General features: G+C 41.2%; 1 long non-coding RNA gene across 1 annotated transcript in view; it reads left to right on the top strand.

Annotated features, from left to right (window-relative positions):
* Positions 1–14736, top strand: part of LINC02911 (long intergenic non-protein coding RNA 2911) — a 73031-nt gene extending 58295 nt beyond the window's left edge. Inside the window, exon 8 of the long non-coding RNA XR_007065207.1 lies at positions 14589–14736. This is a non-coding gene — a long non-coding RNA (long intergenic non-protein coding RNA 2911). The remainder of the gene's footprint in view (positions 1–14588) is intronic.
* Positions 14737–24159: the final 9423 nt, after the last annotated feature.

The raw sequence follows: 24159 nt of genomic DNA, 5'->3' as shown, positions 1-24159 counted from the left end.
TTTATAGCAGCATGATTTATAATCCTTTGGGTATATACCCAGTAATGGGATGACTGGGTCAAATGGTATTTCTAGTTCTAGATCCCTGAGGAATCGCCACATTGACTTCCATAATGGTTGAACTAGTTTACAGTCCCACCAACAGTGTAAAAGTGTTCCTATTTCTCCACATCCTCTCCAGCACCTGTTGTTTCCTGACTTTTAATGATCGCCATTCTAACTGGTGTGAGATGGTATCTCATTGTGGTTTTGATTTGCATTTCTCTGATGGCCAGTGATGATGAGCATTTTTTCATGTGTCTTTTGGCTGCATAAATGTCTTCTTTTGAGAAGTGTCTGTTCATATCCTTTGCCCACTTTTTGATGGGGTTGTTTGTTTTTTTCTTGTAAATTTGTTGGAGTTCATTGTAGATTCTGGATATTAGCCCTTTGTCAGATGAGTAGATTGCAAAAATTTTCTCCCATTCTGTAGGTTGCCTGTTCACTCTGATGGTGGTTTCTTCTGCTGTGCAGAAGCTCTTTAGTTTAATTAGATCCCATTTGTCAATTTTGGCTTTTGTTGCCATTGCTTTTGGTGTTTTAGACATGAAGTCCTTGCCCATGCCTATGTCCTGAATGGTATTGCCTAGGTTTTCTTCTAGGGTTTCTATGGTTTTCGGTCTAACATGTAAGTCTTTAATCCACATTAAATTAATTTTTGTATAAGGTGTAAGGAAGGGATCCAGTTTCAGCTTTCTATACATGGCTAGCCAGTTTTCCCGGCACCATTTATTAAATAGGGAATCCTTTCCCCATTGCTTGTTTTTGTCAGGTTTGTCAAAGATCAGATAGTTGTACATATGCAGCATTATTTCTGAGGGCTCTGTTCTGTTCCATTGGTCTATATCTCTGTTTTGGTACAAGTACCATGCTGTTTTGGTTACTGTAGCCTTGTAGTGTAGTTTGAAGTCAGGTAGCGTGATGCCTCCAGCTTTGTTCTTTTGGCTTAGGATTGACTTTGCAATATGGGCTCTTTTTTGGTTCCATATGAACTTTATAGTAGTTTTTTCCAATTCTGTGAAGAAAGTCATTGGTAGCTTGATTGGGTGTGGCATTGAATCTATAAATTACCTTGGGCAGTATGGCCTTTTTCACAATATTGATTCTTCCTACCCATGAGCATGGAATGTTCTTCCGTTTGTTTGTATCCTCTTTTATTTCATTGAGCAGTGGTTTGTAGTTCTCCTTGAAGAGGTCCTTCACATCGCAGTAAGTTGGATTCCTAGGTATTTTATTCTCTTTGAAGCAATTGTGAGTGGGAGTTCACTCATGATTTGGCTCTCTGTCTGTTAATGGTGTATAGGAATGCTTGTGATTTTTGCACATTGATTTTGTATCCTGAGACTTTGCTGAAGTTGCTTATCAGATTAAGGAGATTTTGGGCTGAGACGATGGGATTTTCTAAATATACAATCATGTCAGCTGCAAACAGGGACAATTTGACTTCCTCTTTTCCTAATTGAATGCCCTTTATTTCCTTCTCTTGGCTGATTGCCCTGGCCAGAACTTCCAACACTATGTTGAATAGGAGTGGTGAGAGAGGGCATCCCTGTCTTGTGCCAGTTTTCAAAGGGAATGTTTCCAGTTTTTGTCCATTCAGTATGATATTGGCTGTGGGTTTGTCATAGATAGCTCTTATTATTTTGAGATATGTCCCATCAATAACTAATTTATTGAGAGTTTTTAGCATGAAGAGTTGTTGAATTTTGTCAAAGGCCTTTTCTGCATCTATTGAGATAATCATGTGGTTTTTGTCTTTGGTTCTGTTTATATGCTGGATTATGTTTATTGATTTTCATATGTTGAACCAGCCTTGCATCCCAGGGATGAAGCCCACTTTATCATGGTGGAGAAGCTTTTTGATGTGTTGCTGTATTCGGTTTGCCAGTATTTTATTGAGGATTTTTGCATCGATGTTCATCAGGTATATTGGTCTAAAATTCTCTTTTTTTGTTGTGTCTCTGCAAGGCTTTGGTATTAGGATGATGCTGGCCTCATAAAATGAGTTAGGGAGGATTCCCTCTTTTTCTATTGATTAGAATAGTTTCAGAAGGAATAGTACCAGCTCCTCTTTGTACCTCTGGTAGAATTCGGCTGTGAATCCATCTGATCCTGGACTTTTGTTTGGTTAGTAAGCTATTAATTATTGCCTCAATTTCAGAGCCTGTTATTGGTCTATTCAGAGATTCAACTTCTTCCTGGTTTACTCTTGGGAGAGTGTATGTGTTGAGGAATTTATCCATTTCTTCTAGATTTTCTAGTTTATTTGCATAGAGGTGTTTATACTATTCTCTGACGGTAGTTTGTATTTCTGTGGGATCGGTGGTGATATCCCCTTTGTCATTTTTTATTGTGTCTATTTGATTCTTCTCTCTTTTCTTCTTTATTAGTCTTGCTAGCAGTCTAAAATGGTCATAAACTCTTCCCTCTCTAACTCATGAGGTGGCTGTGCTACAGTAAAAACCATCCCAATTTGCCCAGGACTGAAGGGTTTCCTGGATCACAAGACTTTCAGTGCTAAAACCAGGACAGTCCTGGACAAACTGGTACCTTGGTCAGCCTATGTGACACCTAAACATTATAATACATGTGGAAGTCCTTTAGAAAATACAAAGACTCAGAAAAATGTGAGGCAGTGCAGCTTGCTAGGAATACTTTCTTGGTCTTCAGGACTGGGATGGGAAAACTGAAATCTCTAAACAGGTGATTAAAATTCAGTCACCAAGAGCAACTTTTCCAAAAATGTTGCCCAGAAATGTATGTATTTTATCCTTTTTCCCAAATTTCAGATAATGGAGTGTTTGGTATTTCATTAATACTTCTGAATTTTGCCTGAAAGGTATTTATGAAGAACTAGGTCAACTATAAAACCTTGCAACTTTTCTAAAAAATGTACAGGTAAGCAAAGACAATGCCCTAAGTCAAAGATGATGAAAAAAAAATATTTTCTGTTGCCTGGAAAACAATCAGTTTTCTAAATAAGCCAAAGTAAGATTAGAAAAAAAAAAAGGCAGGCACAGCACGGCTCTCACCTGTAATCCCAGCACTTTGGAAAGCTGAGTTGGGAAGATTGATTGACCCCAGGAGTTTGAGACTAGCCTGGGCAACATAGTGGAACCCCATCTCTACAAATTTTTTTTTTAAATAGCCAGGCATGGTGGCACATGACTGTAACCCCCAGTTACTCGGGAGGCTAAGGAGGCAGGATGGCTTCAGCCCAGAAGTCCAAGGCTGCAGTGAGTCATGATTATGACACTGCACTCCAGCCTGGGTGACAGAGTGAGACACTGCATCAAAACAAACAAACAAAAACAATCTGGCAGTATGTGTGTATTTTAAATGTATTTTTTTATCATGAGCTTAAAGTCCTTATTGCTACGGCCTCTGTGTTTAAGAAATTACAAACCTCTCAGCAAAATTTCCAGAAGCAGCAAAAGAAAAAAGAAAACAAGAAACCTAGAAATCCTAAGAGGTGATGTGACAGTTTCATTTAAAAGACAGTTATGGTCTTAAGAATTGAGGACTGAACAATTTCTGTATTCTTATTGATGATGAAACCAAGTTGTCCCCATCAACAGGGAGTTTGGAAGTAGTAGCATTGCTTTTTATACCCAGCTGTGTTGACACAGTCTAGAAGAATACTATGGCATCCCTGGACAACATGAAATATTTGGGGAGCTTCCTAATTAGGTCCACAGCCACGATCACTGTTAGTATCTTATCAGAGAGGTGATAGCACTTCAGTAATTAGCTGGAAAGAAAAGGAGGATGTTTACGGCTCATATCAACATTGAGATCTCTTCAAAGAATCCCAGGGTGAATTCTAATCTCCCACAGCTTTATAATCACCCAGTATGGTTGGCTTACGTATGGCAGATTCTACCTATCCAGTAATTCAGATGTGAGAGTTAATGTGTCAGAAAAGCTAATAAAGGCAAAAATGTTATTGTGTTAATTCAGAGGAAGGGACGCTGGAGGCTGCAAGACTTGAAAGTTTCATAGGATATAAAAAGGGTAGTCTTGGGTGTTGTGCTTGCTAGAGAGAAGACTCGTGATTGCCTTTTCTTCTTTAAGAGCAAAGGAGCAACAGCTCAGGCCTCACCATCTGTCTCAGTTGCAGCCCCAGTCAGGAGTCGAGATGTTAATTCAGATTGTTCTATCAATGCATTGTTTCATAACAGGCTGGGGATGACATTTCTCACTTGGTAACTCACGAACTATCATCATGATTTTGACATCTTTATATTCTTGTACTATCATTTACTCAAACTTTTTTTAAAAAAAGGATAAGTTGAGAAATATCTTTTTACTCTGTCTCTTGATGTCATTAATATAATGACTATTTTAAGCTGAAGACATCTGAGATTTGAAGACAGATGCAGAAAGAAGCCTTCTTGGAGTTTCCCTTCTTTGACTAAAAGCAGCAACTTTTGGAAAATGAAGCTTGTATAAATTGCCACTTCAGACTGAATCCACTCTTGGAATGAAAAATGCAAATAAAACTTACCCCAGTTCTCTTCCTGGAGCAGTGTTATGGCCCTAAAGTGGATAGAAAGACCAATGGTATCTGCATAGGCAAACATTATCACAAACTTTCTTATCTCTCATTTGTTCTTTTAAAAACCCATTTGTCTTTCCTAAAGAAACCCTCATATCCTTCCCATTGGAGCCTTTCCCCCTCCTTCTTTTCCCTACTAAGTTAGGTGTATCCACCCCAAATTTTAACCACCACTTTGACTTACTAATCCTTGAGCACCTCATGTGTATGAATATAGCTACATCAATAAATTTTTATCCTGCTTCTGCCTGTTTTCAATTTAATTCACTGACCTGCAGATACTGAACATAGGAAGATAGAGGAAAAGATATTTTTCCTCTCGGATATAGTAGTTATAGGCATATTTCCAAATACAAATTGAAGTATGGAACTCTTAAAGCACAATGGAGAAAAGTGTGCTGAGGGGTCATCACATAGGAGAAAAGAATAATCAATATCCTTTCCTGGTGGAAGCATTTGGTAGCATAATGTCATCTGACCTTCATAACAGCCTAGCATGATAACCATGTGACAGGGATAAAACACAGTGACATGTGTATATTCACTATCTCCTCTATGCTTGGTCTTTTGAAAAGAGGTCTCCATTAGCTTGCCCAGTGCCTAACCCTCTTCTTATGATGTCTGTGATTATAGGTGAGGCAGAGAACTGGAGAAATCTGGCAGCCTAGGTTGTTTTAGTAGACAATGTGTGTAAGATGGGAGGAGAGAAGTGTAGGAGGGAGGGAAGGAAGGAGGAAGGAAAGAAGAATAACCAGAGAAGGGGACAGGAGAGGAAAGAAGAGGAGAGAAGAGAAGCAGAGGGGAGGAGAGAAGAGGAGTGGAGGTTGTTTTGAGAGAGCGTTGGAATTTTGAAGGAGGAAAGACTAGAGATTGAAGGCAGCTGCTCTTTGGTGGGGATAATAAAAGAGAAGTTGGGAAAGAATTTTATAAGTTTTATAAGGTGTGAGTGGGATTCTTTATCTTTTAATGAAACTTCAGTAAAGAACAAAGTTGCCTTTCAGCATATTTAGGCTGTTAGATTTACTTTTTTTTTTTTTTTTGAGACAGAGTTGCACTCTGTCACCCAGGCTGGAGTGCAGTGCCACAATCTCATCTCACTGCAACCTCTGCCTCCTGAGCACAAGCAATTATCCTGCCTCAGCCTCCCAAGTAGCTAAAACTACAGGTGTGTGCCACCACACCCGGCTAATTTTGTATTTTTAGTGGAGATGGGGTTTCACCATGTTGGCCAGGCTGTTCTCTAACTCCTGACCTCGTGATCCACCCACCTCCATCTCCTAAAGTGCTGGGATTACAGGTGTGAGCCACAACACCTGGCCAGATTGACACTTAAATAACGTGATGTTATGCCCCATGAGGCAACTTAACTCTATGTAAGTTACACAGATAATTTTTATTCTCATTTTATAAATGAATGGAGGTAAAGTGACTTCCCCAAGGTAAGGAGGGCTGGGCTTGGCTTTCTGACTTTATGTCCACTATTCTTTTGTATTTTGCCACATGTGGTCCATGTTTTATAGACCTCTAATAATCTAAACTGATGAAGCAATGCAAAGTCTTTTTTTCTATGCAAAAGAAACTACCCATTAAAAAACAAACAGGTTGACAAACATCTTCTTTTTGTTCTTATAAATATTCCCCAATATTTTCTTGCCAAAACCCCAACCTTCTCTCACAGCTCAACTTCCCTGTCTTCTGGATGTGTTTCTATTTTTCTTCCTCTTTTTTCTTCCTACCTTATACATACAATCTCTACTAACATTACATTCCAAATATATGTTTCAGGTGGACCAGGTATAGTAAGGGAGGCAATGGAGCATGGAAAAAGCAAAAAAAAACAAAAACAAATAAGAAATGTAAACAGGGGGGTGGAGCCCAGATGGCCGAATAGGAACAGCTCCAGTCTACAGCTCCCAATGTTAGTGACCCAGAAGTTGGGTGATTTCTTCATTTCCAACTGAGGTACTGGGTTCATCTCACTGGGGAGTGTCAGACAATGGGTGCAGGACAGTGGGTACAGCGCAGTGAGCATGAGCCGAAGCAGGGCGAGGCATCGCCTCACCCAGGAAGTGCAAGGGGTCAGAGAATTCCCTTTCCTAGTCAAAGAAAGGGGTGACAGATGGCACCTGGAAAATTGGGTCACTCCCACCCTAATACTGCCCTTTTCCAACAGTCTTAGCAAATGGCACACCAGGAGATTATATCCCATGCGTGGCTCGGAGGGTCCTACACCCACGGAGCCTCACTCATTGCTAGCACAGCAGTCTGAGATCAAACTGCAAGACAGCAGCGAGGCTGGGGGAGGGGTGCCTGCCATTGCCGAGGCTTGAGTAGGTAAATAAAGCGGCTGGGAAGCTCGAACTGGGTGGAGCTCACCGCAGCTAAAGGAGGCCTGCCTGCCTCTGTAGACTCCACCTCTGGGGGCAGGGCATAGCCAAACAAAAGGCAGCAGAAACCTCTGCAGACTTAAATGTCCCTGTCTGACAGTTTTGAAGAGAGCAGTGGTTCTCCCACACACAGCTTGAGATCTGAGAATGGACAGACTGTCTCCTCAAGTGGGTCCCTGAACCCTGAGTAGCCTAACTGGGAGGCCCTCCCTAGTAGGGGTAGACTGACACCTCACACGGCCGGGTACTCCTCTGAGACAAAACTTCCAGAGGAACGATCAGGCAGCAACATTTGCTGTTCACCAATATCTGCTGTTCTGCAGCCTCCGCTGCTGATACCCAGGCAAACAGGGTCTGGAGTGGACCTCCAGCAAACTCCAATAGACCTGCAGATGAGGGTCTTGACTGTTAGAAGGAAAACTAACAAACAGAAAGGACATCCACACCAAAACCCCGTCTGTACGTCACCATCATCAAAGATCAAAGGTAGATAAAACCACAAACATGGGGAAAAAACAGAGCAGAAAAACTGGAAACTCTAAAAATCAGAGCACCTCTCCTCCTCCAAAAGAATGCAGCTCCTCACCAGCAATGGAACAAAGCTGGATGGAGAACGACTTTGACAAGTTGAGAGAAGGCTTCAGATGATCAAACTACTCTGAGCTAAAGGAGGAAGTTTGCACCCATGGCAAAGAAGTTAAAAATCTTGAAAAAAAATTAGATGAATGGCTAACTAGAATAACCAATGCAGAGAAGTCCTTAAAGGACCTGATGGAGCTGAAAACCATGGAACGAGAACTACATGACCAATGCACAAGCTTCAGTAGCTGACTCAATCATTTGGAAGAAAGGGTATCAGTGATGGAAGAACAAATGAATGAAGTGAAGTGAGAAGAGAAGTTTAGAGAAAAAGAATAAAAAAAAACAAAGCCTCCAAGAAATATGGGACTATGTGAAAAGACCAGACTATGTGAAAAGACCAAATCTACATCTGACTGGTGTACCTGAAAGTGATGGGGAGAATGGAACCAAGATGGAAAACACTCTGCAGGATATTATCCAGGAGAATGTCCCCAATCTAGCAAGGCAGGCCAATATTGAAATTCAGGAAATACAGAGAACACCACAAAGATACTCCTTGAGAAGAGCAACTCCAAGACACATAATTGTCAGATTCACCAAAGTTGAAATGAAGGAAAAAATGGTAAGGGCAGCCAGAGAGAAAGGTCGGGTAACCCACAAAGGGAAGCCCATTAGACTAACAGCGGATCTCTTGGCAGAAACTCTACAAGCCAGAAGAGAGTGGGGGCCAATATTCAACATTCTTAAAGAAAAGAATTTTCAACCCAGAATTTCATATCCAGCCAAACTAAGCTTCATAAGTGAAGGAGAAATAAAACACTTTACAGACAAGCAAATGCTGAGAGATTTTGTCACCACCAGGCCTGACCTAAAAGAGCTCCTGAAGGAAGCACTAAATATGGAAAGGAAAAGCCAGTACCAGCCACTGGAAAAACATGCCGAGTTGTAAAGACCATCGAGGTTAGGAAGAAACTGCATCAACTAATGAGCAAAATTGCCAGCTAACACCATCATGACAGGATCAAATTGATACATAACAATATTAACCTTAAATGTAAATGGGCTAAATGCTCCAATTAAAAGACACAGACTGGCAAATTGGATAAAGAGTCAAGACCTATCACTGTGCTGTATTCAGGAAACCCATCTCACGTGCAGAGACACACATAGGCTCAAAATAAAGGGATGGAGGAAGATCTACCAAGCAAATGGAAAACAAAAAAAGGCAGGGGTTGCAACTCTAGTCTCTGATAAAACAGACTTTAAACCAACAAAGATCAAAAGAGAAAAAGAAGGCCATTACATAATGGTAAAGGGATCAATTCAACAAGAAGAGCTAACTATCCTAAATATATATGCACCTAATACAGGAGCACCCAGATTCATAAAGCAAGTCCTTAGAGGCCTACAAATAGACTTAGACTCCCGCACTATAATAATGGGAGACTTTAACACCCCACTGTCAACATTAGACAGATCAAGAGACAGAAAGTTAACAAGGATATCCAGGAATTGAACTCAGCTCTGCACCAAGCAGACCTAATAGACATCTACAGAACTCTCCACCCCAAATCAACAGAATATACATTCTTCTCAGCACCACACCACACCTATTCCAAAATTGGCCACATAGTTGGAAGTAAAGCACTCCTTAGCAAATGTAAAAGAACAAAAATTATAACAAACTGTCTCTCAGACCACAGTGCAATCAAACTAGACCACAGGATTAAGAAACTCACTCAAAACCGCTCAACTACATAGAAACTGAACAACCTGCTCCTGAATGACTACTGGGTACATAATGAAATGAAGGCAGAAATAAAGATGTTCTTTGAAACCAATGAAAACAAAGACAAAACATTCCAAAATCTCTGGGACACATTCAAAACAGTGTGTAGAGGGAAATTTATAGCACTAAATGCCCACAAGAGAAAGTAGGAAAGATCTAAAACTGACACCCTAACATCACAATTAAAATAACTAGAGAAGCAAGAGCAAACACATTCAAAAGCTAGCAGAAGGCAAGAAATAACTAAGATCAGAGCAGAACTGAAGGAAATAGAGACACAAAAAACCCTTCAAAAAATCAATAAATCCAGAAGCTGGTTTTTTGAAAAGATCAACAAAATTGATAGACCACTAGCAAACAAGACTAATAAAGAAGAAAAGAGAGAAGAATCAAATAGATGCAATAAAAAATGATAAAGGGGATATCACCAACGATCCCACAGAAACACAAACTACCATCAGAGAATACTATAAACACGTCTATGCAAATAAACTAGAAAATCTAGAAGAAATGGATAAATTCCTCGACACATACACTCTCACAAGACTAAACCAGGAAGAAGTTGAATCTCTGAATAGACCAATAATAGGCTCTGAAATTGAGGCAATAATTAATAGCTTACCAACCAAAAAAAGTCCAGGACCAGATGGATTCACAGCTGAATTCTACCAGAGGTACAAGGAGGAGCTGGTACTATTCCTTCTGAAACTATTCTAATCAATAGAAAAAGAGGGAATCCTCCCTAACTCATTTTATGAGGCCAGCATCATCCTGATACCAAAGTCTGGCAGAGACACAACAAAAAAAGAGAATTTTAGACCAATATACCTGATGAACATCGATGCAAAAATCCTCAATAAAATACTGGCAAACTGAATCCAGCAGCACATCAAAAAGCTTATCCACCATGATCAAGTGGGCTTCATCCCTGGGATGCAAGGCTGGTTCAACATAGGAAAATCAATAAACCTAATCCAGCATATAGACAGAACTAATGACAAAAACCACACGGCTATCTCAATAGATGCAGAAAAGGCCTTTGACAAAATTCAACAACTCTTTATGATAAAAACTCTCAATAAATTAGATATTGATGGGACATATCTCAAAATAATAAGAGCTATCTATGACAAACCCACAGCCAATATCATACTCAATGGGCAAAAACTGGAAGCATTCCCTTTGAAAACTGGCAAAAAACAGGGATGCCCTCTCTCACCACAAATATTCAACATAGTGTTGGAAGTTCTGGCCAGGGCAATTAGGCAGGAGAAGGAAATAAAGGGCATTCAATTAGGAAAAGAGGAAGTCAAATTGTCCCTGTTTGCAGCTGACATGATTGTATATCTAGAAAACCCCATTGTCTCAACCTAAAATCTCCTTAAGCTGATAGGCAACTTCAGCAAAGTCTCAGGATACAAAATCAATGTGCAAAAATCACAAGCATTCCTATACACCAATAACAGACAAACAGAGAGCCAAATCGTGAGTGAACTCCCACTCACAATTGCTTCAAAGAGAATAAAATACCTAGGAATCCAACTTACAAGGGATGTGAAGGACCTCTGCAAGGAGAACTACAAACCACTGCTCAATGAAATAAAAGAGGATACAAACAAACGGAAGAACATTCCATGCTCATGGGTAGGAAGAATCAATATTGTGAAGATGGCCATACTGCCCAAGGTAATTTATAGATTCAATGCCATCCCCATCAAGCTACTAATGACTTTCTTCAGATAATTGGAAAAAACTACTTTAAAGTTCATATGGAACCAAAAAAGAGCCCGCATTGCCAAGTCAATCCTAAGCCAAAAGAACAAAGCTGGAGGCATCACGCTACCTGACTTCAAACTACACTACAAGGCTACAGTAACCAAAACAGCATGGTACTTGTACCAAAACAGAGATGTAGACCAATGGAACAGAACAGAGCCCTCAGAAATAATGCTGCATATGTACAACTATCTGATCTTTGACAAACCTGACAAAAACAAGCAATGGGGAAAGGATTCCCTATTTAATAAATGGTGCTGGGAAAACTGGCTAGCCATATATAGAAAGCTGAAACTGGATCCCTTCCTTACACCTTATACAAAAATTAATTTACTATGGATTAAAGACTTAAATGTTAGACCTAAAACCATAAAAACCCTAGAAGAAAACCTAGGTAATACCATTCAGGACATAGGCATGGGCAAGGACTTCATGTCTAAAACACCAAAAGCAATGGCAACAAAAGCCAAAATTGACAAATGGGATCTAATTGAACTAAAGAGCTTCTGCACAGCAGAAGAAACCACCATCAGAGTGAACAGGCAACCTACAGAATGGGAGAAAATTTTTGCAATCTACTCATCTGACAAAGGGCTAATAACCAGAATCTACAATGAACTCCAACAAATTTACAAGAAAAAAACAAACAACCCCATCAAAAAGTGCGCAAAGGATATGAACAGACACTTCTCAAAAGAAGGCATTTATGCAGCCAAAAGACACATGGAAAAATGTTCATCATCACTGGCCATTAGAGAAATGCAAATCAAAACCACAATGAGATACCATCTCACACCAGTTAGAATGGCGATTATTAAAAAGTCAGGAAACAACAGGTGCTGGAGAGGATGTGGAGAAATAGGAACACTTTTACATTGTTGTTGGGTCTGTAAACTAGTTCAACCATTATGGAAGTCAGTGTGGCGATTCCTCAGGGATCTGGAACTAGAAATACCATTTGACCCAGCTATCCCATTACTGGGTATATGCCCAAAGGATTATAAATCATGCTGCTATAAAGACACATGCACACATATGTTTATTGCGGCACTATTCACAATAGCAAAGACTTGGAACCAACCCAAATGTCCAACAATGATAGACTGGATTAAGAAAATGTGGCACATATACACCATGGAATACTGTGCAGCCATAAAAATGATGAGTTCATGTCCTTTGTAGGGACATGGATGAAGCTAGAAACCATCATTCTCAGCAAACTATTGCAAGGACAAAAAACCAAACACCGCATGTTCTTACTCATAGGTGGGAATTGAACAATGAGAACACATGGACACAGGAAGGGGAACATCACACACTGGGGCCTGTTGTTGGGTGGGGGGAGCGGGGACGGATAGCATTAGGAGATATACCGAATGTTAAATGACAAGTTAATGGGTGCAGCACACCAACATGGCATATGTATACATATGTAACAAATCTGCACGTTGTGCACATGTACCCTAAAAACTTAAAGTACAATAATAATAATAAAAAAAGAGATGTAAACAGACAGGGATTAAGAAACAAAGCTGCATTCTCATTTTGACTGTATCGTTTGTTAGCTGTGTGGCTTTGGGGAAGTTACTGAAATTTTGCTGAGCTCAATTTTCTCATCTGCAAAATGGGACTAGTGAAAGCACCTCCAGGGTTATTGGGAGAATTAAATGAAGGACTGAGGTCACATAAGGCTTGGCAATAGTGGCGGCCAAATAATACTTGCTTAGTTCTCCCCTCCCTCTCTATTCCATTGGTCTATTATTGTTGTTGTTGTTAAAAATTTTCCCTCCCTCCCCTCCGCCACTCCCATCTAATTTGAAGCTCCTCAAGAATGGAAGCTGTCTTCTTGTTCATCAGATGGTTATCTAAATGGACAGGAAGTTTATTCTGCTTAAGGAGAAATTCTACTTTCCTGCAGTCTGTGGGCCCTCGCTCACCACCCAGGGGTGGTTTCTGGGTGTGGCAGGCCTAGCTAAGGGTTTCCCATCAGCCTATCCTGTGCAGGGAATCACCCATCACCTGGGCTGTGCAGAGGCTAAAGTCCCTTCCTGATCAATCCATCACTGCCCAGAGCCTGCCTCACTCCTGACCCCAGCAGGCTGTTAAAAGGGGGCCCATGTCCCTTTGGTCTCTAAGTGTCCACTTTGCTATTAGCAGAGAACAGACATTCAGAGGAGAGGGGCTCCCCACCACCCCCAGGTGGTGCCAAGTCTGCCCTAGGATGCTAGGAGAAGTCTAGAGCTAAGCCTCTGTCCTCTCTAACCCATTCCTGCCATTACACAGCCCTAAAATCATTAGGGTCGGAGAAGGGAACCCCTGCCCTGGCCTTGCCTTCAGAAGCCCCATTGCTTTGAAACAACATGCTAGAAAAATTTTAAATACCTTCATCTGTGCCTGGGATGAGTCTGGTGGGGTGTTTGAGCCAAGTGGGAATTCCCATGGACCCGGTCCAGGTTCCTCCTGTTCAGGGCACTTTCTGAATGTCTAATTGCAAATATTCACATGTGGGGTCAATCTGCCACCTAGCTTCCAGGAAGGTGGCCAAGAAGTTGACTGCTCCCACTGTAGGTATAACTGTATGAGGTTCTGCAGCCAGAATGGTGCTGACACCTTGATTTGGGGTAATTCTCACAGCAGACATAGGACAGTGTAGCTCTGGCTACAGAGAGTCCCCTGCAGACCCTGGGCTTAGCGACACATGTAAGCCATGCAAGTATTCTCTACCATTCATGTAGAGAATCAGTTCCTAAGAATGGTGGGCCCCCAACTCCGACACCTGGGTTGGCTACCCCATCCCCTCCATAGGTTCCACATCAGGTGTCAGGAGCGGTCACACATGTCTTCTTCACGGGCTCCCTAGACCACGGCTCTGTATCACCACAGGGACTCACATGTCCTCTCCTGCCTCAGGAGATGTGATAGTCTTGCCCTCCCAGGTCAGTCCTATGGCACATGAGGCAAGGGATGAACATGGCTTGCACTAAAGGGACATCTCATTTGTCTTCCTCTGGCCATAGAAACTCACCTATGCTCCCTGTGGTAGTTACATGGAAGGTAGAGGCCAATCAACACTAAAAGCAATCACATTCTATAAATGCAGCAATTGCAATCTACAGAGTTCAAAAGAAGACACGGTGGGAAGATGGGTTGTTCTACTTTTTAACCCATTCAATTTGGAACAGTAAATTTAACACACAGAGAACATTAATCATCATAGTCTTGGTCTGCATACATTGGGTAAGACTTGGATTTGTGGTCATTATTAACAAAGCTCAGTGGCAACCTCTTAGAGTCATTGGAAGGTGATGCAGCTGTGTAAGTAATGCTGTAATCAGCATTAATAGTTAGAGTTAGGAGACAGCAGCTGGGTGAAGATCTATATTGTTTCAAAGCAAACAGGTTAAGAAGGAGCCATGGCAGTGTAAGGAATAATTGTTGCTATTTTTTTTTCTTGCAGCAGAAATGTAAAATTAACAAGGAATTGTTCACCTGATGAAAAGGAACATGGAGAGATGGTTCTTGAATCTGAATAGGAGGAGATCGTGCCTGGACACACTAGGAAGAATCTTCTGCATTGATTTGATTAAAAAACAACTATGTAAATACCTCTTTTCCACCTATTATTCTCAATCTTCATTAATAAGTAACTATATTTCACATGAGCCTATGAATTTTGTAAAACATTTTTTAAAAAAGAAGTTCATTGTATAGGCAGAGACCCTGCAGGAAATATTTGTCTGGTGCTGTGCACCCCTTAGGGGTGACCCTGTTTTAGCTTAAGTGAGAGCAGATCGCATTAACTGCCTCGAAAAGACCCATTTTAGGAATAAGCAGATCTCACCTCATTAAACTTTTCTACCATCTCTTCTAGTGGTATTAACACATCCTCCATTTTCCAAATGAACCTTTCCCAGCCTCAGAGAGGGTAAATAACTTTATCAAAGTTGCATGGCTGGAATTGGCAATGCTGCACTTTGAGCCTGATGATCTAATGCCATACTATTTTAGTTACAGTGGTCTCGGTTTCTAGAGGTAGAAATCTTAAAAGTCAGGACCCTTGGTGATCCAGTGTGTATGGCTGAGCTCAGTTAGGTTTTTGTGCATTTATTTTGAATTTTATCTCTAACAAGATTAAGGGCCAAACTTAACATACTTATTTCCTCTGGGCCCCAGTAGCTGTAAGATATGGGATGATTGGAGTCAGGTGAGACAGCAGTGGTCTCGTTAAGAGCCCTGATGCTTAAAGTGTGGTCCACAGATCAGCTGCAGCAGCAGTGCCTGGAGCTTGTTAGAAATTCTGATTCTCAGGCCCCTTCCCCCAGACCTGCTGGAGCAGTGTCTTCAGGTTAACAAGATCTACGAGTGTTTCATAAGGAAGTTAAAGGTGAGCGGCACTGGTTTCTGAAGAAAGAACAGGATTTAGAGTACAAAGACTTAAGTCCTCATTTTGCCCGTATCACTTGCTAGCTGAGTGACCTGAAACAAGATCCCTGATTTATCAGACATTCACTGTCACCAATGTCAAATGGCAGTCATGCTTGCTTTGTAGACATGAGCCCCATGAGATGATCCACAGGAAAGCGCTTGATAAACTGTCAAGTGTCGGGAAATATTCAATGAGCCCCAAAGGAAGAGCCTGGAGGCCTTTATTATTTCAACACACCCCTAGCTTGGCTTGAGCAGGCATGTAATAGCTGTGGATGGAGTGAGCGAACTTGACCCACACTTTGAGAATAGGTTTGTTCAATTAACAAATTAACTAACGAGTTAATTAATTAAAAAATGCATTAGCAAGCATTCAACATTCATTTATTCATTGAACACATTTTTGTTGCATGCCCTCTTTGTGCTCTTAAGCTGGGCATACAATGGGGAATAAGATAGATGATGTTGTTTTCCTCACAGAGCACACAAGAATTGCAGCACATCCTGCAGAAGTAGGCTCTGTGTAGGCTTAAATTGAGCAAAACTGTGGCTGTGGTAAGGAAGTCTCCAATGATCTTGTTTCCATGTAACCTCAAATCATCCATTATTGCTGTATCTGCAAAGAACTAGTCCTTACTCTTTTTCTTGGTCTTGAGGTTTCTATAAAGAAAACATTAGGATTCTGAAGTGGCCTCTATCAGATATCACTCTTCTGACCAAAATATAATACACTGAGATTCTATTGGTTGGCCTTGTGTTGACTGGTTTGACAAAAAGGAATCTAGGCAGATATTGCAGGCCTGCTGAACCTTCCAGTAGCTCTTCCCATTTCTAGATGAGGCCTGGAATTTCCACCATTAATGCTTCATTTCATTGGCTTGAGTGGAGAAGGCCCATGGGCCTCCAATATGAAAGCAGTTGTTTCAGGAATGGTGAGTACATTGATACAGGACAGTCTGAACACCTTAGTTTGAATTATCTAAGAGTAAGCTATGTCACAGGGAATCGGTGAGAATGTGAACACTGGGACCTCAGAAATGGGGAGTTAAAGCAAAGGCTGAGGCATTGGGCCTAAACACGGACCATTTTAATAGTTTATATTCTAGGACTTTCTCTTTTTCATGTGTGATAGTATGCTTAGGTATTATATTTTAACTTACAGTTGTAACTTATAACTACACCCTTTTACATTATAAATTTTTAAGTATTGCTGGTTTATGTTAATAATTTTTAATTAAATATTATAACTTAAGTTTTCCTTAAACATTGGTTCTTCCAATATCACCTTTATTACTCTTGCTGTCTGTAAACACCTGTGCTATCATGAGTTGTGCGAGTGTTTTAATTTTAGTTCCTGAATGCTGACACTTTTTTTTTTCTTTTCTGAGACAGAGTCTCACTCTGTCACCCATGCTGGGAGTGCAGTGGCACCATCTCGGCTGACTGCAACCTTCACCTCCCTGGTTCAAGCAATTCCCCTGCCTCAGCCTCCTGAGTAGCTGGGATTACAGGCACACGCCACCACATCTGACTAATTATTTTTTGTATTTTTAGTAGAGACAGGGTTTCACCATGTTGGCCAGACTGGTCTCGAAATCCTGACCTCAGGCAATCCACCTGCCTCGGCCTCCCCAAAGTGCTGGGATTACAGGTGTGAACCACTGCGCCCAGCCCACCTATCTTTAAAATACTGAAGTTGATGATATAAAGTAATTTTTAAAAGATGCATGTGTTATGTTACTGAAAATATGTGTTGTGTAATAATGATATTGAAATTGATTTTAAATTAAATCCCTATTCATGCCTTGGCTTTGACTTCAGCAATAATACTTACAAATTCATGGGTTTGGTGCACATCCCCCTCAATCATAACTTTGATGTATGTTTTGTGATGCAATAAAATAAAAATATTTGATTTTAAAAGTTTATGTGTCTGACATCTTAAATCATCTTAAGTATCATTAGGGGTTGAAATATATACTTGAAAAACTAATTTTCAAGTATTGAAAATAAATACTTGAAAAACACTGTCTTAATTGCTATTTTGGTTGACCCTGATGTTCAAAGACATAATGGCTGGAAAGTTGTTCCTCTTTTTAAAATGTGTGCACACAGGAGAATGTAGTAATAATGGTGGTGGAGGGTCTGGACTGAGAGCTTAAGTAACCTGGGTTCTGTTTCCATCTCTGCCATAAAATTTCTGTATGGCCTTGGGCAAGCCCTTCCCCTCTCTGGGCCTCAGTTTCTCCATCTGTCCAATAAAGAGGGGAAGGGCTCTAGAAGCCATTCCATCTTGTGACTCTCTAGATAGCTTGATTCCTCTGCAGTTGAGTCAAGTGTGTTTAAGTAAGCAAGCCACCTCCTGTTTGCCTCATCCGGCCTCTTATCTTAATAAGTAATGAGTGTGCCAAGGGCTGACAATGACATATTTTGAAAATAGTTTTAATGCATAGCTGGCAGAGGACCTGTTGGGCGTTGACAAATTACACAAACAGAGATGATGAGGAGTGCATCAAATATTAACGGCCCAGGGCCCAGACGGTAATGGAGAACTTACCTGTGTCTTACATAAGCCTACTCATGTTCGGCTGAAGGGAACATTTCTTTTCAACGTCTCCAGGCAATTGTAGGGTTGGCTTTCAGCAAAACGAAGAAGAAGCCAAAGTTAATTTTTGTAGGTGACCCTTGACTTTGGTTTAATTTATTCCTGGAGGATATTTGAGAGTCAAGCTCTTTGAAGTGGACTCCCTTACCCCCTGTGTAAAGGTTATGAATCGGATTTCTGTTCCTTGATGCTGATTCCTATCTTAAAAGTGCAAAATTGACTATAAAAAGCATGAAATACTACTACTAATAAGATATAGGCATATGTGCTTGAAAAACATGTATTTAGAATATATTTCTAACTATTTTAATACAAAACAAGAATGCTTCTTAGGCGTTTTTTTCTAACCTAGGCCTGACTGAGCTCATCTTCTTGAACATGAATAAAATAAAGTTTAAGTCATTGTCCTAATAACTGTTTTTGAGTCTTAGTCACTCCAAGTGCCCTTGAACTGAGTTCAAACTAAAGTGAAGGTTTCCAAAAGGTTCATGGTTGATTTGAAGAGCAGAAAGTCTTTTTCATTACTACGTTTTGCTCTTCTATGTCAATGAGATATTGACAGGTCTTTACGGTGAGTAAATAATTATATTCTAGCCCAGTTGGGTTGCCAGATTTGCAAATAAAACTACAAGATCCCCAGTTACCTCTGAACTTCAGACATACGTCAAATATGTTTTTAGTACTAGAATGTTCCGTGCATATTTGAGACATGCTAAATATCATTTGCTGTTTATCTGATATAATAATTTAATTGAGCATCATCTATTTTATCTGGCAACCCTAAACCCAAGGGTTGGCAAACTTTTTCTATAAAGAACCAGATAGTAAATATTTCAGGTTTTGCAGGCCATAGGTAACTACTTCACTTTGCTGCTGCAGCACAAAACAGCGTAGACAATATGCAAACAAATAGGCATGGCTTTGTTTCAATGAAATTTTATTTACAGACACTAAAATGTGAATTCCATAAAATTTTCATGTGTCACGAAATACTATTTTTCTTTTGATTTTTTCCCCCATCATTAAAAAATATAAAACCAGCCGGGTGCAGGGGCTCACGCCTGTAATCCCAGCACTTTGGGAGGCCGAGGCAGGCGGATCATGAGGCCAGGAGATCGAGACCATCCTGGCCAAAATGGTGAAACCCTATCTCTACTAAAAATGCAAAAATTAGCTGGGCGTGGTGGCACGTGCCTGTAATCCCAGCTACTCAGGAGGCTAAGGCAGGAGAATCGCTTAACCTCGTGTATATATATATATATATATATATATATATATATATATATATATATATGTATATATAACCTCGTGAGCTTGCAGTCTGTACAAAAACACTCAGCGGGCCAGATTTTGCCCACGGGTTGAATTTGCTGCCCCCTATAAAACCTCTAAAGGTACAGCCACCATCTAAGTCTTCAGAGTGACCACTGACTTCAAGATAAAGGTTGCTCATCAATTTAGAGCTGTTTTATTTGCTATAGTAACCATTAGAATTGAGAAGTTGTGTTAAGTCTAAAATATGCACCATATTTCAAAGACTGAGTATGGTAAAAAAGTAAAATAAAGTTAATTTCACCTGTTTTGTTTGGAATATGTCTACTACAAGATTTAAGATTGCATATGTAGCTCTTCTTTGTGTCTCCCTTACACTTCTTCAGTTTCTTTGTTTTTTGGATTTGGGGTCTCATTCTGTTGTCCAGGCTGGAGTGCAGTGGTGCTATCATAACTCATTGCAGCCTCTCGGCTGCAGCCAACTCTTGGCTCAAGTGATCCTCCAGCTTCAGCCTCTGGAGTAACTGGGACTACAGGCACATATCACCACTTCCAGCTAATTTTTAAATTTTTATAAATAAGGGGTCTCACCATCTTGCCCAGGCTGGTCTCAAATCCCTGGGCTCAAGGGATTCTCCTGTCTTGGCCTGTCAAAGTGCTGGGATTACAGGCATAAACCACTGTGTCCAGCCTCTCCTTGTCTATAAGAGCTGGCATGTGAGCATTCTTTCTTTTACTCATTCCATTCATACAACACATATTTGATAAGGATCTACTATGCATCAGGCATTGTTATTGGCCCCGGGTAGAGCAGTGAACAAGACAGACATGGATGATACCCTAGGGAACTTTCCCTCCAATCTGTAATCCTAGCTACTCAGGGGGCTGAGGTAGAAGGATCACTCAAGTTCAAGGCTCCAGTGAGTTATGATCGTGCCACTGCACTCCAGCCCGGGCAACAGTGCAAGACCTTATCTCTTAAAAGAAAAAAGAAAAGTAGAGATTGAAAATCCTAACTGTAGGAGGAAGAAAAGAAGCTTAGTGCTCTGAGGGTCTTAAAAGGAGAGATTGACCCCATCAGGGTGTAGGTGAGGAAGTCACATTGATCTGAGATGTGAAAGAGAAGTAGATGTGAATTGAAGGTGGAAGGGAAGGACAGTGGCATTTCAAGGAGAAGGAAGGGGGAAAGCTGTGGTGGTGACAGGAGGGTGTCTGGTTGTTTGAGAGCTTGGAGAAGGCCACAAGGCTGGGGCATGAGGGTAAGGGTAAGCACAGTGAGGGGTAAGGGCACTTTAGCAGAAGATGGACCCATCACCCATCATCTCCATCCCAGAGGACCAACAGGAAGTCACTGAAGGGTGTTTGTTATCAGATGAAGGTGGGGAGTACCATGGTGTTTGCATTTTAAAAGCCTCTCTTTGTTGCAGAACAGCTGCCCTGTGGGCCACACAACTCAAACCAATAACGCCCACCCCATGGCAGTCCATGACTGAGCTCTTAGGGGCCCAGAGACGAAGAGAATACTTCCCAAAGTACCTCATAGGCATTATCCAGAGTTCCCTGAAATGTCACTCCGAGTGCATGTTTTGGGGAGCACTCCCAGAAGGGTTACTCTGGACTCACCTCTGAGATCACCATCAGCCAGAAAGCAAAGGAAAATAGAATGCTGGCATGAGAATATGCCATGTTAGCACCAGAGTAGTTCTCTTTAGAACCGAAAGAGAACTGAGCAATTGCCTACTCTAGAAATTGAAGGTGTTTAAAAAAGGCAAATTGTATATACAGGTGCCAAAATCTTATGCTTGTGGTTTTAGCCCCAGTATGGACACATGGTGGAATTTCAGGGAGTAGCTTGACCACATTCCAGTTGCCTTCTTCCCCACATGCATATGCACAGACACATATGCACACCTTTCTCGTTAAAGGTTGATATTATGGCATGATTGAAGTAGATCATCCCATGAGTTATTTGCTTTTCATTTCTATTTAGATATAAAATTTGCACTGTTGACATGGTCACAGAACAAGGAGAACTGTGATTTATGTTTCATAATTCCTATAGCTGATTTCCTGTGGGATTGTGTTTTATCTCCTATCATATCTTGGGCACTCTGTATTCTCCACCCCTTGCTGCTTGGACATTAGCTTGGCTAAAGTATAGCTGGAGTGTGGAGCTCTCCTACCTCAGGAGGGCAGGCAGGAAGGGGTTTGGGGGAAGGGGGTTCTATTGGCTATTCTTAGCTTGTACTGTATAGGCTGCTACCTCCCCTAATAAAGCATGGAGCAATGATGGGCCAAGTGAAGCAGGTATGCTAAGATGTAGAATCTTTCTTAACCTGCTAAATAATGTGTGACTTATGAGATGACAGACCCATTGTGTTAGGAATTTATTCCTTCTTGTGTGTCCTTGGTCTCGCTGACTTCAAGAATGAAGCTGCGGACCCTCACGGTGAGTGTTACAGCTCTTAAAGATGGTGTTTCTGGAGTTTGCTCCTTCAGATGTTCAGATGTGTCTGGAGTTTCTTCCTTCCAGTGGGTTCGTGGTCTCGCTGACTTCAGGAGTGAAGCTGCAGACCTTTGCAGTGAGTGTTACAGCTCTTAAAGGGGGCATGTCCGGAGTTGTTTGTTCCTCCTGGTGGGTTCGTGGTCTCACTGACTTCAGGAATGAAGCTGCAGATGCTTGCGGTGAATGTTACAGCTCATAAAGGTACTGTGGACCCAAAGAGTGAGCAGCAGCAAGATTTATTGTGAAGAGCAAAAGAAGAAAGCTTCCACAGCCTGGAAGGGCACCCCAGGGAGTTGCTGCTCCTGGCTCAGGTAGCCAGCTTTTATTCCCTTATTTGGCCCTGCCCACATCCTGCTGATTGGTCCATTTTACAGAGTACTGATTAGTGCATTTACAATCCTTTAGTTAGACACAGAGTGCTGATTGGTGCAATTTTACAGAGTGCTGATTGATGCGTTTACAATCCTTTAGCTAGACACAAAAGTTCTCCCAGTCCCCAGCTACCCAGAAGCCCAGCTGCCTTCACCTCTCAACATGGGGAAGGAAGGAGCCACAGGAGCTGCCATGGTGCCCTGCACCTTGCAGGGAGCTCCTCTTCATCTAGCCCCAGCCTGGAGGTTTGGGGATGGTCCTCTCCACAGTCACCTTCACTGCTACATTGCACTTCCTTTGATTGAGCTTGGTCCTGCCTCCTGTAGCTTTCTCCTCTCTTTCTACCCTAGAGGCTTTGAATTAGTCCATCCCATGCACTTGCCCCAGCAGGGTGGGGAGAGATGGAGGAAATTCCATCACTGGAGAGGAGTGCATTTTCTGTGCTGTAGGTGGGGAACTGTTGAAGCTTATTGCCCCTAATCTCATGTGTGGTTCTTGTGCCAGAGTGCCATGTTCCATCCTCAACCCTGTGAGGTAGGAAGGAGGAGAAACACGGATTCAGGAAGCTTGCTGTCCCTCTCTTCAGAATGCTCCTAGTGGTCTTATGGAAGCCTTTATCTCTGAGTAACTTTCTTTGTTCCAGTTGACCTTGCCCTATTACCAAAGCTGATTGGACTGAGAGAGTCACCTGACCTAAGCTGAACCAATCAGTGTCTTTCTTTCAAAAACATGAAGGGCTTGGAAAAATACAGCCAGCCATGATGGCCTTGAAACTGAGGCCATAAACAGTTGGGATGGCAAATAGCAACATCTGAGTAAAAAAATTCACAGAGGTTTGGAGAAGCAGAAAAAAGAGCCTCAGAGAGAACGAGAGACCATGGGGAGAATGGAAAAGGCTTGCAAAAAGAAACAGCTGCGAGAGCTCAAGTGGTCCCCAAAATAAGGAGATAAAGAAGAGAGGGTGCTGGTGACTTTCCAGGGCCAGCTGTAGTTCTTCAAACAGGTTTCACGAGATTTTTCTGCATCCTTCCAATAAATTTCTTATTGCCAAAGCTAGCTTAAGTGAGTATCTGTTTCTTGAAATAAAGTGATCCTTCAGACTGGGTTGTAAAATTTGATATCATAGGGAAAAGATAACCCTACTGGTTCATTTCCCAGAGTCACTGCCAGTCTTAGGCATATGGTTTAAAGAGGGGGAGGAGGGTACCAGGCCCAAACTCTTTCCTCCTCTGGTGTGCCATCTGGTCATAAATTGCAACATTAGGGTCCCATTCCTTTGGGTTAAGGATTTGTCTCTCAAAGAGCTTAGCTAAATGGCACTCAAAACACGAAAATCGCTCACTCAGGGATAATGAGCTTGGAGTGTCTTTCAGGGAAGCAGACAGGTGAGTGCACAGCCCTGCACGAAGAAGATTCCAGATGGGCCAGATCTGAGGGGCTCTGTGTTACGCCACCCCCTTCAGCCAGATCACTAGCTCTGCTTCTATCTGAAATCTTTCCAACAAAAAAATTCTTCATATATATGTGAAGAATAAATATTCTTATATATATAAATATATATAAGAATATATATTCTTATATATATAAATATATATAAGAATATATATTCTTATATATTAATCTATAAATAAAAATATATATGAGTATATATTCATATACACATATATATATATATATATATATATTAGTAAACATAGATATGTTTTGGAGTTAGGATTACAAGTAGCAACATCTGAATAAAAAACCTGGAGAGGTTTGGAGAAGCAGGAAAAAAAGCCTCAAAGAGGAAGAGAGACCATGGAGAGAATTTACGTGTATATAAAATATATATGTATATGTATAACATAT

This window comes from Homo sapiens, chromosome 16, assembly GCF_000001405.40.
Source record: "Homo sapiens chromosome 16, GRCh38.p14 Primary Assembly".
In the NCBI taxonomy this organism is placed as follows: domain Eukaryota; kingdom Metazoa; phylum Chordata; class Mammalia; order Primates; family Hominidae; genus Homo; species Homo sapiens.
The sequence above is the reverse complement of the archived record's forward strand: the minus strand, read 5'-3'. Positions and strand labels throughout refer to the sequence as shown.